Below are 18,974 nucleotides of genomic sequence, written 5' to 3'. Positions count from 1 at the left end.
CAGGCCCAGTGGCTCATGCCTGTAATCCCAGCACTTTGAGAGGCTGAGGTGGGCAGATCACTTGAGGTCAGGAGTTCAGGACCAGCCCGGCCAACATGGCAAAACCCCGTCTCTACTAAAAATACAAAAACTAGCCAGGCTTGGTGGTGGGCACCTGTAATCCCAGCTACTTGGGAGGCTGAGGTACAAGAATCACTTGAACCCGGGAGGTAGAGGTTGAAGTGAGCTGAGATTGCACTACTGCACTCCAGCCTGGGCGGCAGAGCAAAACTCCATCTCAAAAAAAAAAAAAAAAGAAACAAAAAAACAAGAGGTTTAATTGGCTCACAGTTCCATAGGCTATAGGAAGCATGATGCTGGCATCTTCTGGGCTTCTGGGGAGGCCTCAAGAAACTTACAATCATGGCAGAAGGCAAAGAGAGAGCCAGCACTTCACAAGGCTGGAGCAGAAGGAAGCGGGGTGGGGAGTGCCACACACTTTTAAATGACCAGATCTCATGAGAAATCACTATCACAAGAACAGCACCAAGAGGGAAATCTGCTCCCATGATCCAATCACCTCCCACCAGGCCCCACCTCCAAACTGGAGATTACAATTCGACATGATATTTGGGCAGGGACACAGACCCAAACCATATCATAGTAAATCTGCAGGGCATCTTCAACAATAATCTGGAAACATAATAACACATCCTTGTTGCTACAGTCCTTTTTTCTAATCCCCAATCTGATCATATCCTCTATGCAGCCAATCTCATCTTTGGCATTGGCGTTCTTCTAATTTCAGTTTAAAAGGTAGCAATTCCCTGAACTCTTCTCTGATTTGGAGGTACTTTTTAAGTATTTGAGCCCAGCACCCTCTAACACAAGGCAAATGAGGTTTTTGGAACTATTAGAACAAAAGGAGGTGCAAGTGAGAGAACAGAATAGAAATATTCAAGAACATTGCTCCATTGCAGAGGGGTGAGAGGCAGGGAGTACAGAAAGAGAGTCAGTCATGCATGGAATGTCCTGAGGAAGTCCTCAGACTTAAAACAGATAGTTCTTTCTCTTCTTGCCCCAGGCAGAAAATTCTGACTACTTCTGCCTGTAGTCTGGAGTCTTGGGAGTTAGAAGAAAAGCTTCTGACTCAAGGAGTTCCTGACATCTCTGTGTGGACTCTTTCAAGCGAAGTTCAGAGAAAGTTCAGTTAGGAAGCCCTCCTGTAGCCACCAAATGCCCCTTCTGCCACGAAGATAAAAGCTAGTAATGATTGGCACATGGGAATGACCATGTAGTTGAGTTAATCAACTGTGCAGATATGACGGCTACCTACGTGAAACCCCAGAGCCTTCTACTCTGGCTTTTGATTTGACAACCAGAAGCCACAACTTAAAATGGCATTGGTGTTACTGAATGCTTTCAGGAGCTCTTTTGCCCTTTTGTGTTAGATCCCAAATATTAATGGAAATCAGCCTTTACTTGCAGTTTTCTACTGACTGTGGGAAAAGAAATTCTGCATATTTTTTAAAGTAGTATCAATCAAGTCATCCTACAAGGTGTGTACAAGTTTCCCCACTTGCATTATTTTCATTGGAGCTTCTTCCTATTGAGAAAAAGAAAAATCTCTCAGTTTCTGCATTTTCTACATTTTCTGAAACTTGGAAAACTCCATTGCAAATTATATAGGACAGTCTTGGGATCCAGACAGATTTTGACTATATCACCACAGGTTATAACAGGAAACACTTTGGCCCACAAGTTAGGGATGGAGGTTTGAGTCTTGGCTCTGCCACTGAGTAATTTTGTGACCTTGGACGAGTCCCTGGGCCATGGTGGACCAGGTATTCTCTGCAGTTACCGCCGCTCTAAGATGTATGGTTCTCATTGCAGGCATCTTTTCCACAAGTCCTGTGTTGACCCCTGGCTTCTAGACCATCGTACCTGTCCCATGTGCAAGATGAACATTCTTAAAGCCCTAGGGATCCCGGTAAGCACAGCACAGCCTACAGCATTATAATGTCTGTCTTTCTGCGTTGCCCTCAAAGCAGGGAGAAAACATTATACTTGGATGTTCTGTGTCCCCTCAGTCACACATAGCAGTCACATCATCTTACAAGGCTCCAAGAGAACTCCTATGTCTGAAAGCATTTCTCCCCTCACTTTTTCTCTGAGGACATCCCAACCTTTCACCATGTCCATTATATTTGTCTGTGAGTCAAGGTATCACTTGTGCAGCTCATTGGCTTCTCTTCTGGGCTGCAGCATGGGAGGGCAGGTGGGACGGCAGCAGATACACCCCGGGCCAGTTGCACACTGAGCACCTCTTGCATCATCATCACCCTTGTTTGGCCATCAGGAAGATCCGTAAGCCACACTTTGCCCCACGATCACCTGGCTTTCAGAGGGAGCGAGCACCTCCCAGCAATCGGAGGGGAGGACAGAGGCTGAAAGTCAGGCTCAAAGCCTCAGCTAAACTCAGATCTCTGTGGAGACTTTGAGTGAACAGGAAACCAGAGCCAGAGCTACTTAATGCTAGCACTTAGTTCTCAATTTAACGGGTTCCCCCAGTTGACTCCCCCAGAGACTAAATGTTTTCTAAAGTTTAGTCTCTCCCCTGTACAAAGAGAATCAGCCAGCTGGCTTGATGCTCCAGGGAGACTTTCCCAGAACTGTATCAGGTGAAGCCTGCAAACTGGTGGGTGGTGAGACACCAGCTGCTATGTGTTCTCCCCTCTCAGCAATGAGGGCAGGAAGCAAGGCAGGCCACCAAATCCAAGGACTACACTGAGAGATGTGAGAAACCATACGGTGCTGTGTAGAAGTCAGACAAACGAAATGCAGATGCCAGCTCCCCCTCAGCCCCTCCACTTTGCTGCCACCTGCCTATTGTCATTCCTCACTGCTAATGGCAGAGAATAAAGAGAATGTTAATAGTCCCAAGATGTCACTGAAGAAGGATCAGATCCCATATCAAAGGTTTACTTTAATGCCAGAGATGCATTATCTTAGGAATATCAGAGTGGCTCTGCTGGAGAGGGCGCACCTGAAGCATTATGAGGACATGCATTGGCTGAACTTTCTACCCTGTGCCAGCTGCCTCCATGCCTGCTGTATGATTTGCATGGTTGATACTCTGAACACACATCAACTTGTGTGACTATACCTTTGAGCTAGATTTTAAAGATAATGCATTAAATTTTCAGACCAGTTATAAATGCATAATGCATTCATGATGAAAATCAATTACAGGAACATGAAACATCAGTAAAAACCCAAGAGCTCTACCAGATACTGGTGACTTAGAAAGCTGAGCTCAGTTTTTGTACTGTTCACATTTCTGTCTATAACTGAGTCTTTCAGGGGAGGGGGAAATGTGTGTATGTGTGTCTATGGTCTCCAAAATCTTTAGAATCCTGACAGTTCTCACAATGAGACAGAGACAGTTGCATCCTTTGATGTGTTCCTATTGTTCAGGGTATTTTTAGAGATATTAAGTGCCAATCCCACTGCTCTCTGGTCAGGACAATGAAACTTAACAAGCATCCATCGTTCAATTTTGTACTAAAGAGTATTTGACTCCAGATTTTTTCAATGGAGGTATAACTTCTGCAGAAGCTACTTGTAAATAAGTTGCAAATATTGCTGTTAATTATTTTTAGAAGAATTATTGGGTGGTCTTTTCTCTTATTTCCAAGATGAATAACATTTTAACTTTTAGCATTTGGGCATTCTGGCCATGGTTTGATGCCTAACAAGTCGGATAGGATTTTACTTTGCACAATGAACTGTCAGAAAAATAAACATCAGTAGCATCTTTTGGATTTGGTAAAGATTTTTTTTTAATTATACTTTAAGTTTTAGGATACATGTGCAAAACGTGCAGGTTTGTTGCATGTGTATACATGTGCTATGTTGGTGTGCTGCACCCACTAACTCATCATTTAGCATTAGGTATATCTCCTAATGCTATCCCTCCCCCCTTCCCCCACCCCACAACAGGCCCCAGTGTGTGATGTTCCCCTTCCTGTGTCCATGTGTTCTCATTGTTCAATTCCCACCTATGAGTGAGAACATGCTGTGTTTGGTTTTTTGTCCTTGCAACAGTTTGCTGAGAATGATGGTTTCTAGCTTCATCCATGTCCCTACAAAGGACATGAGCTCATCATTTTTTATGGCTGCATAGTATTCCATGGTGTATATGTGCCACATTTTCTTAATACAGTCTATCATTGTTGGACATTTGGGTTGGTTCCAAATCTTTGCTATTGTGAATAGTGCTGCAATAAACACACGTGTGCATGTGTCTTTATAACAGCATGATTTATAATCCTTAGGGTATATACCCAGTAATGGGATGGCTGGGTCAAATGGTATTTCTAGTTCTAGATCCCTGAGGAATCGCCACACCGACTTCCACAATGGTTGAACTAGTTTACAGTCCCACCAACAGTGTAAAAGTGTTCCTATTTCTCCACATCCTCTCCAGCACCTGTTGTTTCCTGACTGTTTAATGATCACCATTCTAACTGGTGTGAGATGGTATCTCATTGTGGTTTTGATTTGCATTTCTCTGATGGCCAGTGATGGTGAGCATTTTTTCATGTGTCTTTTGGCTGCATAAATGTCTTCTTTTGAGAAGTCTCTGTTCATATCCTTTGCCCACTTTTTGATGGGGTTGTTTCTTTTTTTCTTGTAAATTTGTTTGAGTTCATTGTAGATTCTGGATATTAGCCCTTTGTCAGATGAGTAGGTTGCGAAAATTTTCTCCCATTCTGTAGGTTGCCTGTTCACCCTGATGGTGGTTTGTTTTGCTGTGCAGAAGGTCCTTAGTTTAATTAGATCCCATTTGTCAATTTTGGCTTTTGTTGCCATTGCTTTTGGTGTTTTAGACGTGAAGTCCTTGCCCATGCCTATGTCCTGAATGGTATTGCCTAGGTTTTCTTCTGGGGTTTTTATGGTTTTAGGTCTAACGTTTAAGTCTTTAATCCATCTTGAATTAATTTTTGTATAAGGTGTAAGGAAGGGATCCAGTTTCAGCTTTCTACATATGTCTAGCCAGTTTTCCCAGCACCGTTTATTAAATAGGGAATCCTTTCCCCATTTCTGGTTTTTGTCAGGTTTGTCAAAGATCAGATAGTTGTAGATATGCGGCATTATTTCTGAGGGCTCTGTTCTGTTCCATTGGTCTATATCTCTGTTTTGGTACCAGTACCATGCTGTTTTGATTACTGTAGCCTTGTAACCAAGTTTGAAGTCAGGTAGCATGATGCCTCCAGCTTTGTTCTTTTGCCTTAGGATTGACTTGGCAATGCGGGCTCTTTTTTGGTTCCATATGAATTTTAAAGTAGTTTTTTCCAATTCTGTGAAGAAAGTCATTGGTAGCTTGATAGGGATGGCATTGAATCTATAAATTACCTTGGGCAGTATGGCCATTTTCACGATATTGATTCTTCCTATCTATGAGCATGGAATGTTCTTCCATTTCTTTGTATCCTCTTTTATTTCATTGAGCAGTGGTTTGTAGTTCTCCTTGAAGAGGTCCTTCCCGTCCCGTATAAGTTGGATTCCTAGGTATTTTATTTTCTTTGAAGCAATTGTGAGTGGGAGTTCACTCATGATTTGCCTCTCTGTTTGTCTCTTATTGGTGTATAAGAATGCTTGTGATTTTTGCACATTGATTTTATGTCCTGAGACTTCGCTGAAGTTGCTTATCAGCTTAAGAAGATTTTGGGCTGAGACGATGGGGTTTTCTAGATATACAATCATGTCATCTGCAAACAGGGACAATTTGACTTCCTCTTTTCCTAATTGAATACCCTTTATTTCCTTCTCCTGCCTGAATGCCCTGGCCAGAACTTCCAACACTATGTTGAATAGGTGTGGTGAGAGAGGGCATCCCTGTCTTGTGCCAGTTTTCAAAGGGAATGCTTCCAGTTTTTGCCCATTCAATATGATATTGGCTGTGGGTTTGTCATAGATAGCTCTTATTATTTTGAGATACGTCCCATCAATACCTAATTTATTGAGAGTTTTTAGCATGAAGCGTTGTTGAATTTTGTCAAAGGCCTTTTCTGCATCTATTCAGATAATCATGTGGTTTTTGTCTTTGGTTCTGTTTATATGCTGGATTACGTTTATTGATTTGCATATGTTGAACCAGCCTTGCATCCCAGGGATGAAGCCCACTTGATCTTAGTGGATAAGCTTTTTGATGTGCTGCTGGATTCGGTTTGCCAGTATTTTATTGAGGTTTTTTGGATCAATGTTCATCAAGGATATTGGTCTAAAATTCTCTCTTTTGGTTGTGTCTCTGCCAGGCTTTGGTATCAGGATGATGCTGGCCTCATAAAATGAGTTAGGGAGGGTTCCCTCTTTTTGTATTGATTGGAATAGTTTCAAAAGGAATGGTACCAGCTCCTCCTTGTACCTCTGGTAGAATTCGGCTGTGAATCCATCTGGTCCTGGACTTTTTTTGGTTGGTGGGCTATTAATTATTGCCTCAATTTCAGATGCTGTTATTGGTCTATTCAGAGATTCAACTTCTTCCTGCTTTAGTCTTGGGAGAGTGTATGTGTCGAGGAATTTATCCATTTCTTCTAGATTTTCTAGTTTATTCGTGTAGAGGTGTTTATAGTATTCTCTGATGGTAGTTTGTATTTCTGTGGGATCGGTGGTGATATCCCCTTTGCCATTTTTTATTGTGTCTATTTGATTCTTCTCTCTTTTCTTCTTTATTAGTCTTGCTAGCGGTCTATCAATTATATTATTATTATTATTATTATTATTATACTTTAAGTTTTAGGGTACATGTGCACAATGTGCGGGTTAGTTACATATGTATGCATGTGCCATGCTGGTGTGCTGCACCCATTAACTCGTCATTTAGCGTTAGGTATATCTCCTAATGCTATCCCTCCTCCCACGCCACAACAGTCCCCAGAGTGTGATGTTCCCCTTCCTGTGTCCATGTATTCTCAGTGTTCAATTCCCACCTATGAGTGAGAATATGCAGTGTTTGGTTTTTTGTTCTTGTGATAGTTTACTCAGAATGATGATTTCCAATTTCATCCATGTCCCTATAAAGGACATGAACTCATCATTTTTTACGGCTGCATAGTATTCCATGGTGTATATGTGCCACATTTTCTTAATCCAGTCTATCATTGTTGGACATTTGGGTTGGTTCCAAGTCTTTGCTATCGTGAATAGTGCCGCAATAAACGTATGTGTGCATGTGTCTTTATAGCAGCATGGTTTATAATCCTTAGGGTATATACCCAGTAATGGGATGGCTGGGTCAAATGGTATTTCTAGTACTAGATCCCTGAGGAATCGCCACACCGACTTCCACAATGGTTGAACTAGTTTATAGTCCCAACAACAGTGTAAAAGTGTTCCTATTTCTCCACATCCTCTCCAGCACCTGTAGTTTCCTGACTGTTTAATGATCACCATTCTAACTGGTGTGAGATGGTATCTCATTGTGGTTTTGATTTGCATTTCTCTGATGGCCAGTGATGGTGAGCGTTTTTTCATGTGTTTTTTGGCTGCATAAATGTCTCTTTTGAGAAGTGTCTGTTCATGTCCTTTGCCCACTTTTTGATGGGGTTGTTTGTTTTTTTCTTGTAAATTTGTTTGAGTTCATTGTAGATTCTGGATATTAGCCCTTTGTCAGATGAGTAGGTTGCGAAAATTTTCTCCCATTTTGTAGGTTGCCTGTTCACTCTGATGGTAGTTTCTTTCACTGTGCAGAAGCTCTTTAGTTCAATTAGATCCCATTTGTCAATTTTGGCTTTTGTTGCCATTGCTTTTGGTGTTTTAGACATGAAGTCCTTGCCCATGCCTATGTCCTGAATGGTAATGCCTAGGTTTTCTTCTAGGGTTTTTATGGTTTTAGGTCTAACGTTTAAGTCTTTAATCCATTTTGAATTAATTTTTGTATACGACGTAAGGAAGGGATCCAGTTTCAGCTTTCTACATATGGCTAGCCAGTTTTCCCAGCACCATTTATTAAATAGGGAATCCTTTCCCCCTTGCTTGTTTTTCTCAGGTTTGTCAAAGATCAGATATTTGTAGATATGTGGCGTTATTTCTGAGGGCTCTGTTCTGTTCCATTGATCTATATCTCTGTTTTGGTACCAGTACCATGCTGTTTTGATTACCGTAGCCTTGTAACCAAGTTTGAAGTCAGGTAGCGTGATGTCTCCAGCTTTGTTCTTTTGGCTTAGGATTGGCTTGGCAATGCGGGCTCTTTTTTGGTTCCATATGAACTTTAAGGTAGTTTTTTCCAGTTCTGTGAAGAAAGTCATTGGTAGCTTGATGGGGATGGCATTGAATCTATAAATTACCTTGGGCAGTATGGCCATTTTCACGATATTGATTCTTCCTACCCATGAGCATGGAATGTTCTTCCATTTCTTTGTATCCTCTTTTATTTCATTGAGGGGTGGTTTGTAGTTCTCCTTGAAGAGGTCCTTCACGTCCCTTGTAAGTTGGATTCCTAGGTATTTTATTCTCTTTGAAGCAATTGTGAATGGGAGTTCACTCATGATTTGGCTCTCTGTTTGTCTGTTATTGGTGTATAAGAATGCTTGTGATGTTTGTACATTGATTTTGTATCTTGAGTCTTCGCTGAAGTTGCTTATCAGCTTAAGGAGATTTTGGGCTGAGACAGTGGGGTTTTCTAGATATACAATCATGTCATCTGCAAACAGGGACAATTTGACTTCCTCTTTTCCTAATTGAATACCCTTTATTTCCTTCTCCTGCCTAATTGCCCTGGCCAGAACTTCCAACACTATGTTGAATAGGTGTGGTGAGAGAGGGCATCCCTGTCTTGTGCCAGTTTTCAAAGGGAATGCTTCCAGTTTTTGCCCATTCAGTATGATATTGGCTGTGGGTTTGTCATAGATAGCTCTTATTATTTTGAGATACGTCCCATCAATACCTAACTTATTGAGAGTTTTTAGCATGAATGGTTGTTGAATTTTGTCAAAGGCCTTTTCTGCATCTATTGAGATAATCATGTGGTTTTTGTCTTTGGTTCTGTTTATATGCTGGATTAGAATTATTGATTTGCATATGTTGATCCAGACTTTCATCCCAGGGATGAAGCCCACTTGATCATGGTGGATAAGCTTTTTGATGTGCTGCTGGATTTGGTTTGCCAGTATTTTATTGAGGATTTTTGCATCAATTTTCGTCAAGGATATTGGTCTAAAATTCTCTTTTTTGGTTGTGTGTCTGCCAGGCTTTGGTATCAGGATGATGCTGGCCTCATAAAATGAGTTAGGGAGGATTTCCTCTTTTTGTATTGATTGGAATAGTTTCAGAAGGAATGGTACCAGCTCCTCCTTGTACCTCTGGTAGAATTCGGCTGTGAATCCATCTGGACCTGGACTCTTTTTGGTTGGTAAGCTATTGATTATTGCCACAATTTCAGAGCCTGTTATTGGTCTATTCAGAGATTCAACTTCTTCCTGGTTTAGTCCTTAGGAGGGTGTATGTGTCCAGGAATTTATCCATTTCTTCTAAATTTTCTAGTTTATTTGTGTAGAGGTGTTTGTACTATTCTCTGATGGTAGTTTGTATTTCTGTGGGATCGGTGGTGATATCCCCTTTTTATTGCGTCTATTTGATTCTTCTCTCTTTTTTTCTTTATTCGTCTTGCTAGTGGTCTATCAATTTCGTTGATGTTTTCAAGAAACCAGCTCCTGGATTCATTAATTTTTTGAAGGGTTTTTTGTGTCTCTATTTCCTTCAGTTCTGCTCTGATTTTAGTTATTTCTTGCTTTCTGCTAGCTTTCAAATGTGTTTGCTCTTGCTTTTCTAGTTCTTTTAATTGTGATGTTAGGGTGTCAATTTTGGATCTTGCCTGCTTTCTCTTGTGGGCATTTAGTGCTATAAATTTCCCTCTACACACTGCTTTGAATGTGTCCCAGAGATTCTGGTATGTTGTGTCTTTGTTCTCGTTGGTTTCAAAGAACATCTTTATTTCTGCCTTCATTTCGTTATGTACCCAGTAGTCATTCAGGAGCAGGTTGTTCAGTTTCCATGTAGTGGAGCGGTTTTGAGTGAGTTTCTTAATCCGGAGTTCTAGTTTGATTGCACTGTGGTCTGAGAGACAGTTTGTTATAATTTCTGTTACTTTACATTTGCTGAGGAGTGCTTTACTTCCAACTATGTGGTCAATTTTGGAATAGGTGTGGTGTGGTGCTGAAAAAAAATGTATATTCTGTTGATTTGGGGTGGAGAGTTCTGTAGATGTCTATTAGGTCCGCTTGGTGCATAGCTGAGTTCAATTCTTGGGTATCCTTGTTAACTTTCTGTCTCGTTGATCTGTCTAATGTTGACAGTGGAGTGTTAAAGTCTCCCATTATGATTGTGTGGGAGTCTAAGTCTCTTTGTAGGTCACTAAGGACTTGCTTTATGAATCTGGGTGCTCCTGTATTGGGTTCATATATATTTAGGTTAGTTAGTTCTTCTTGTTGAATTGATCCCTTTACCATTATGTAATGGCCTTCTTTGTCTCTTTTGATCTTTGTTGGTTTAAAGTCTGTTTTATCAGAGACTAGGATTGCAACCCCTGCCTTTTTTTGTTTTCCATTTGCTTGGTAGATCTTCCTCCATCCCTTTATTTTGAGCCTATGTGTGTCTCTGCACATGAAATGGGTTTCCTGAATATAGCACGCTGATGGGTCTTGACTCATCCAATTTGCCAGTCTGTGCCTTTCAACTGGAGCATTTAGCCCATTTACATTTAAGGTTAATATTGTTATGTGTGAATTTGATCCTGTTGTTGTGATGTTAGCTGGTTATTTTGCTCATTAGTTGATGCAGTTTCTTCCTAGCCTTGATGGTCTTTACAATTTGGCATGTTTTTGCAGTGGCTAGTACCAGTTGTTCCTTTCCATGTTTAGTGCTTCCTTCAGGAGCTCTTTTAGGGCAGGCCTGGTGGTGACAAAATCTCTCAGCATTTGCTTGTCTGTAAAGGATTTTATTTCTCCTTCACTTATGAAGCTTAGTTTGGCTGGATATGAAATTCTGGGTTGAAAATTCTTTTCTTTAAGAATATTGAATATTGGCTCCCACTCTCTTCTGGCTTGTAGAGTTTCTGCCAAGAGATCAGCTGTTAGTCTGATGGGCTTCCCTTTGTGGGTAACCTGACCTTTCTCTCTGGCTGCCCTTAACCCTTTTTCCTTCATTTCAACTTTGGTGAATCTGACAATTACGTGTCTTGGAGTTGCTCTTCTTGAGGAGTATCTTTGTGGCGTTCTCTGTATTTCCTGAATTTGAATGTTGGCCTGCCTTGCTAGACTGGGGAAGTTCTCCTGGATAATATCCTGCAGAGTGTTTTCCAACTTGATTCCATTCTCCCCGTCACTTTCAGGTACACCAATTAGACGTAGATTTGGTCTTTTCACATAGTCCCATATTTCTTGGAGGCTTTGTTCATTTCTTTTTATTTTTTCTCTAAACTTCTCTTCATGCTTCATTTCATTCATTTCGTCTTCCATCGCTGATACCCTTTCTTCCAGTTGATCACATCGGTTACTGAGGCTTGTGCATTCGTCACGTAGTTCTTGTGCCTTGGTTTTCAGCTCCATCAGGTCCTGTAAGGACTTCTCTGCATTGGTTATTCTAGTTATCCATTCATCTAAATTTTTTTCAAAGTTTTTAACTTCTTTGCCATTGGTTTGAACTTTCTTCTTTAGCTCAGAGTAGTTTGATCTTCTGAAGCCTTCCTCTCTCAACTCGTCAAAGTCATTCTCCGTCCAGCTTTGTTCCATTGCTGGTGAGGAGCTGCATTCTTTTGGAGGAGGAGAGGTGCTCTGATTTTTAGAGTTTCCGGTTTTTCTGCTCCGTTTTTTCCCCATCTTTTTGGTTTTATCTACCTTTGGTCTTTGATGATGGGGACGTACAGATGGGTTTTTGGTGTGGATGTCCTTTCTGTTTGTTAGTTTTCCTTCTAAGGTCAGGACCCTCAGCTGCAGGTCTGTTGGAGTTTACTGGAGGTCCACTCCAGACCCTGTTTGCCTGGGTATCAGCAGCGGTGGCTGCAGAACAGCAGATATTGGTGAACCGCAAATGCTGCTGCCTGATGGTTCCTCTGGAAGTTTTGTCTCAGACGAGTACCCGGCCGTGTGAGGTGTCAGTCCGCCCCTACTGGGGGGTGCCTCCCATTTAGGCTACTCGGGGGTCAGGGACCCACTTGAGGAGGCAGTCTGCCCGTTCTCAGATCTCAAGCTGCATGCTGGGAGAACCACTACTCTCTTCAAAGCTGTCAGACAGGGACATTTAAGCGGATTTGCTGAAGATTTTTAAAGGCCAGCTGAACAAGAACATGATACACATCCAAGCTTGCCCCACAAAACAGAACATCCTCCATGAAGAATAAATCACTTTCGTTCTACTTCTCACAAAGCATGAAGGCATATGGATACCTTCTGTGCCTCCCAAGCCTTTTCTGTTTTTCTCCTAGGGAATGACAAAGTCAGGATCTGGGAGGAATTTTGGATTTTGTTCCCCTTCATCCTTCTACCGTTGGGTAGCACTATGTGTTAATTATATCAGCAAGATGACTTCTCCATTCTTAAAACTTTCCATCTCACTGGGCAAGCTCACAGCCTTCTCAATTAGAAAATACTTGCTATATCGAACTGAAACCCTTTTTATGCAGCTTAAACAAATTGTCTTATAATTTTCCTATGTTCCATGTATTCCATTTCTTCTTATTCAAAGAAAATTGAAAAGAGCTTTTCACTCTCTGATAACTGATGTCTGTTCATGCTTCATCTCTGCATTCCTTACTTATGCTAAGGGCTCAATAAATGTCTATGGAATTACAGCCCTTCAGAGCCTTGAAGGCTGGCAGTTACACAATCGTATTTATGAATTTCATCCTGATTCTCCTTTGAATAGTATCAACTCGCAAACAACTTGGCTGTAATCCTGATCTACTAGATTATTCAAATACATGTGGCATATTATTTTTTGTTTTGTTTTTGTTTTTGTTGTTTTAACAAAGTGTCCTTGTATCTACCCATGGTATAAGACAAATACATCGAAAGTCAGAAACTGAGGATGTTGTTATTTTGTAAGTGATTTCTCTACAATGAACTAAAGAATGAGAGCACAGTTCACTGATTATGAAATTCCCATAACAATAGGTATCATTTTCCATTATATTTTGCTACGGGAAATATAATACTGAATGCAAATAGTGGGGAGTCCTTTATTATCAGAAGCATTTTGATCTACATTACAGTGCTTCACCCTCCATTCTATCCAGTCAGGTGTAGGTCTGTCTTGATAGAATGACAGAATACAGTTTCAGCAAATCCTCTTCTAAGGTACCATATAACCTGGGACTTTCATATGCCAGCAACCACCTCCTATCACTATTATCCTCATAGGAATAGGTTGGTGATTTTTATTGAATACAAAATCCTGCTGTATACCTGGTGTATTCACAAGATTCTATTTAGCAGTTGCTTTATTTGAGGGGTTTCCCATGCTAACTTGAATTTAAATGCCTGTGCAGTTTTCACTTGCAGATAGCATTTGACATCTTGTTTTAAACTTTATGATTGTGTCTTCTCTCAGAGGTATGTAGATTTGGTTTCTTTTCAAAATATTGTTCCATTTGATGAACCATGTAGAGTGGATATAATCTGTGAGGTTCTGTAAACTTGGTCTGTTAAATATTATATCTAAGCCAAATTATTTGTGCTTGCTACCATTGACAGTTTCACTGTGCTAATTAGCTCTTTTGCCCTCTACCCACTCTGTTAAAGATACAGCACTATTCCTACTATCCCACAAAATGAAGAACAAAAAAACTGCATCAAAATTAAGAAAATATACAAAGAACAATATCAACAGCTAGATCAACATTTTGAAAAATATGTCCATTATTATTGCATATGATTGCATTTACGTATTTATGGCCAAAAGAACAACCTGCACAGTACCCTCTTTGCGAAATCTTTTCTTCCTGAAAACCTCTCCCACAGTTAGTTTTGCTTAATAAACACCTGTGTATAGCATATCTTGCCTTTAAATAGAACTTTACAGTTTTTCAAGTATTTTCTCAAATCCTCCCTTAATTGATTTAGGGCAGATCATGCCCAAGTTTCCAGGGCAGAAATCTGAGACTCAGATCAAATTTCCAAGTCAACATTTACTGAGCACCTAGTCATTGTCAGTGGCACTATTAGGGGCTTGGAATCCAAAGTCAATATAGTGTGGTTGCTTCACTTTACAATGTTTGGGGACTAGTAGAGTGAGATCAGCACATTAACAATAGCCATACAGCATGGGAGAAGTACCTTATGAAGTGCTTGCAGGAGCAAAGATGCCCTCCTGGGAGGGAACATGCCTTAGAAAAGGGGACACTGGACCTGGGAATTAAAGGGTGATTAGGAATTCACCAGGGGCCAACTTGAGACCTTGAGATAGGAAAAAGAGGGTGATTGGATCAAATGTCATCCTGAGCACAGGGACAATATAAGCTACAGTGTTGAGAGGAGGGAGTGTATGGTGTGCTGTCTGTCTTCAAAGGCTGAAGGTGAGGCCAGAAAAGTAGGCTGGGGCCAGGCTCTTGAGCATCTGCCTCTGTCATGCCAGGGAGCATGTAATTCCTTCCTTGGGAGAAGAGGAGAAACATACCCATGGTTTTTGTTTTGTTTTGTTTTGTTTTCTTGAGACAGAGTCTTGCTCTGTCGCCAGGCTGGAGTGCAGTGGGACAATCTTGGCTCACTGCAACCTCCGCCTACCAGGTTCAAGCGATTCCCCTGCCTCAGTCTCCCCAGTAGCTGGGACTACAGGTGCGCACCACCACACCTGGCTAATTTTTATATTTTAGCTGAGACAGGGTTTCACCATGTTGGTTAGGTCACCTGACTTCGTGATCTGCCCACCTCGGCCTCCCAAAGTGCTGGGATTACAGGCGTGAGCCACCACGCCCAGCCCATGGTGTTTTTTTTTTTTTTTTTTTTTTTTTATGTTCTGATGAGAGAGTGCAGACTGAAATACACTGGAGAAGAGATTGTAAGTGGATAGGGAAACTGGTAATGGGGAGAGAATATTCATAAACCCACTTGCTCGTGTCCAATGTCAATGAGTAAATTTAGTAAATTCAGTGAATTGGTCATTCTATGAATCGACTTTTGACAGATTGAGTTTCAGTGAATTGGCTCACTTCCAATATAGCTAGAGAGGGCAAAAAGAAGAAAGAATACAGGAAAGAAATGAATAAACTGAATTTGATGTGTTTATGGAATGGTAGAGCTCTTCAGCTGACTGTTAGGACACAGGTGTGGAGCTCAGGAGACTGGCATTATACAGCTAAGAGCACAACACTAGGACAACAGCCCAGCACTTTGCATGTCTTGCTTTGTGTTCCCTAGGAGTCCGTGAGTTGTAGGTTTTCTGTTCTGATGAACTTGGAAAACAACAGTCATTGTGATATTAATTCAATCATTATCAATCCAGAGTTCTCCTCCCCTAATCCTGACCATCATGTTCTGCCTACTTTGGGAGTGTAAACCATGTAATTATCATCCTTCAAGACAAAGCTGAGGTTCAGAGCAAAAGAAATTAACAGCTGTTCTTAATCCTGCTTAAGACAATATTCCTCCACCACCACCTTTTAGAAAATAATTTTGAGTTTGTGTAGAGACAGAACAACTGAAAGTAATTTGAAAAGCTGTTTGTGGAAGAGATAGAAATATATTCATTTTTACTTCAAACCAGCAGAACTGAGATAAAAGAGTAAAACTTGCAAAGCATAAGATTTTGCCCAATAATAATAGACGCCAACACTGCTGGCCAACACAGAGTGCCTTGCAAAGCAGAGAGCTCCCATTGCTATGTTCTTCAAGGGAAGCTGTCAATGATATTGGAGAGGAAAGCGTCCTGTAATCAATGGGCAATTGAACAAGGGGGTCTCACCATAGTCTTATGATTCTAAGAATTTAATTTAGAGGATTTGACTAATGTATGATCAATACCGTATTAAGGACTTAGGGATATTTTTCTATAGCTGGCTTTAGGCTTATGTTTTTCTTAAATGTAGCCTTATCCTGTGCTCTGTGTGTGTTTGAGGGTATGTATGTATCTTTAATGAACAAGCCATAATGACTCAGATTCTATCCTCCCTCCCACTCTCATATCATTAGTATATTTGTAAACAACACATGAGTTTTAAGGGATAATGATCAGGCTACCAGCTACATTCTAGGTGTGGAATAAATAATACTATATGTAAGGAAGTGCCTTCATTGTAAATAAATTTCACATATTCCCCCTAAGTGATTATTTAAATGTAGAGATTTTGCTTATCTTGAAATAAAACTTTAATTTTTAATCTAAAAGATTAAAAAGGAATCTTTTCAATCTAAAATGAACCTTTGGAAAGGAAATTTTGGAAGATCTTTTTATGTTAATCTTATAGAAACTATATATAGAATGTTTTTAAATAAAGTGGCTCAAGAAGTAAACAATAAAGAACTTAATTTTTTCATGGAGACAGAATGTTTAGGCTATAGACATTTAATCTCTAAGTGGATGACATGTACTGAGAACAGATCTTTTTCTGCCCCATCAGCCCAATGCCGACTGCATGGACGACTTGCCCACTGACTTCGAGGGCTCTCTGGGAGGTCCACCCACCAACCAGATCACAGGTGCCAGCGACACAACAGTGAATGAAAGTTCAGTCACTTTGGACCCTGCTGTCCGGACTGTGGGAGCCTTGCAGGTGGTCCAGGATACAGACCCCATCCCCCAGGAGGGAGACGTCATCTTTACTACTAACAGTGAGTTCTGCCATACTTAAAGTGACATAGCCAGAAGGACTGTTGCCTTGTAGGAATTGGAAAAAAATACCTTTCCTCAAAAAGAAAAAAATATTGAATGAGTACATCATTGCTAGGTTCATCAGTTATAACTGCCAGCTGTTAGAAGAACTGCCTTTCCTAGAGCCAGCAGGGCAGACAGCCCACCTGGCTCTGTGTGCCCATGCTCCTGCCTGCCCACACACTGACACCAGGGCTCACACATCACAGCATTGCACACTCTCCATGTCCGCTTCCCTGTGGTACCTGAGGCACATAGGGTCATGGATCTGGAGCCTCTCAGACTGGAGGGCAGGTGAGGGGAGCAACTACAAGGGGTGCTCAGCAGGACTGGGATAGGGCACAACCACACCCACTCACCTGCGCATGCTCGCATGTGTGTACACACACACACACACACTGGAGCCCCGAGTGTGCGTGTGACTGTATGAACTAGTCTGGACCACGGACAAGAGGCTGCTTTCCTTGTTGCTGTAGGACGTGGATGTGAATGGCATCCCTTTAGATGGCCATATCTGCAAGAGACACTAAACCCCTGTGCACAGTGGCCCTGAATACTAAAATACCTTCTGGGTATTTTCCCCCATCTCATACATAGACAGTCACTAAATGCTGTTCTGTTTGATGGTAGTTTTCATAAAAATATTAAATTATGTGTATTAGCATCAAGATAGAAGTAAAAATCTAAAGTACCTACTATTCAGTCTAATATAAGAGATAAAAGCTTCAGGAGTTCTAAGAAAATCAGATGCAAATTAGCTTAGGTTTAAGGTTAAAAGAGTGAGTGGATATTGCAACTTTTATACGAAGTGTCTTTCTTTCTCTTGACAGAAGTAACCTATTCACTGTAGAAATTTGGAAATGTAGAAAAGCAGATTGAAGCATTTGAGGGTATTTTCTTTGAAGTTGGTCTTTCTTTTACATATTTGTGATTTTTATAAAATGTATGAAAGCATGCTAAAATGTAAAGATATGTATTTTTCTGATGAAAAAACTTCATTGTTGAAAAATTGAGAGATAAAGAAAGAACAGACTAAAAAAAGAATGAAAAAAATCACTGAGGGCCCCACTACTTGGAAACAATCACTCTTAACCTTTTGGTTTATTTCCTGATCATCTTTTATTATATAGTTGAGATGATCCATGGGATTTGAACATTGAATATTGTAACCATACCATTTTTACAGGACCTTGACAGAAGGTGACTTGAAGAGGAGCTTGGTGAGAAATATCTGCACATGCAAAGTTTATTAGTTTTTGATAAATAGGACCTTTAACTTGAGAAACTTGACTTTTATAGGTATAAAGATCTCAGTATTGAAATGTTGACCATTAGGCATTTAAAAGCCATTAAAGATGGATTTTGACCCCTTTGTTTTGAAGGTTTAGACTGGTGCAGCCCGATATTAATATAATGCAAGTCATGCATGTAATTTAAATTTTTCTATGGCTACACTAAAACATTAAAAATAAATGAAGTTCATTTTAATAATATATTTTTACTTAACCCTGTATATCCAAAATATTTTACATTTTTTGGTACTCAGTCTTCAGAATCTGGTGTGTATTTCATTTACACTTACAGCATGTTTCAGAATGTTTTTAAATAAAGTGGCTCAAGAAGTAAACAGTAAAGAACTTAAATTTTATTGAGACAAAATATTGTCTCCAATATTAAAACTATTGAGACAATATTTAAAACTATTAAGACAATATAAAGTTATGTTTATCTTCAAAATTAAAACTATTGAGACACTGTAAAACTAATTTTAACTAGCCACATTTGAAATGCTTAGTAATCACATATGGCTAGTGGCACCATATTGGAGTGCATAGATCTAGAATACTAGTACTTTAAATGGAAGAGAACATTAAAGGTCATTTGATTTTTACCAAAATATACTTCTAATTTTTGTCATGAGAAAATTGTGCCCCAGAGGACTAAATGTCTGACTCAGGTCAAATAGTAAGTTCTCTTTTTGGTGTACCAGGTGGTCTCAGAATTTTTCCATTTATTGGACATCTTTGATTACTGTCACACATACGACCATAAGTGACCTTAGTGAAATATATTGGAAGATGTGATAAAATTTTGCCAGCAGTTGAAAAACATTTAAGGCATGAGCTTGCTTT

At 40.2% G+C, this 18,974-nt stretch overlaps 1 protein-coding gene across 7 annotated transcripts in view; it reads left to right on the top strand.

Moving 5' to 3' along the window:
* Nucleotides 1–18,974, top strand: part of RNF150 (ring finger protein 150) — a 353,094-nt gene that overhangs the window by 284,955 nt on the left and 49,165 nt on the right. For all 7 annotated transcript variants that reach the window (XM_047415998.1, XM_011532148.4, XM_017008475.2 and 4 more), the window contains 2 exons: nt 1,873–1,969; nt 16,592–16,802. In XM_047415998.1, coding sequence (XP_047271954.1) covers nt 1,873–1,969; nt 16,592–16,802 — 308 coding nt within the window. The remainder of the gene's footprint in view (nt 1–1,872; nt 1,970–16,591; nt 16,803–18,974) is intronic.

The sequence above is a fragment of the Homo sapiens genome, chromosome 4, assembly GCF_000001405.40.
Source record: "Homo sapiens chromosome 4, GRCh38.p14 Primary Assembly".
NCBI lineage: Eukaryota > Metazoa > Chordata > Mammalia > Primates > Hominidae > Homo > Homo sapiens.
Note: the sequence above shows the minus strand (reverse complement) of the source record. Positions and strands in the feature narration are given on the sequence as shown.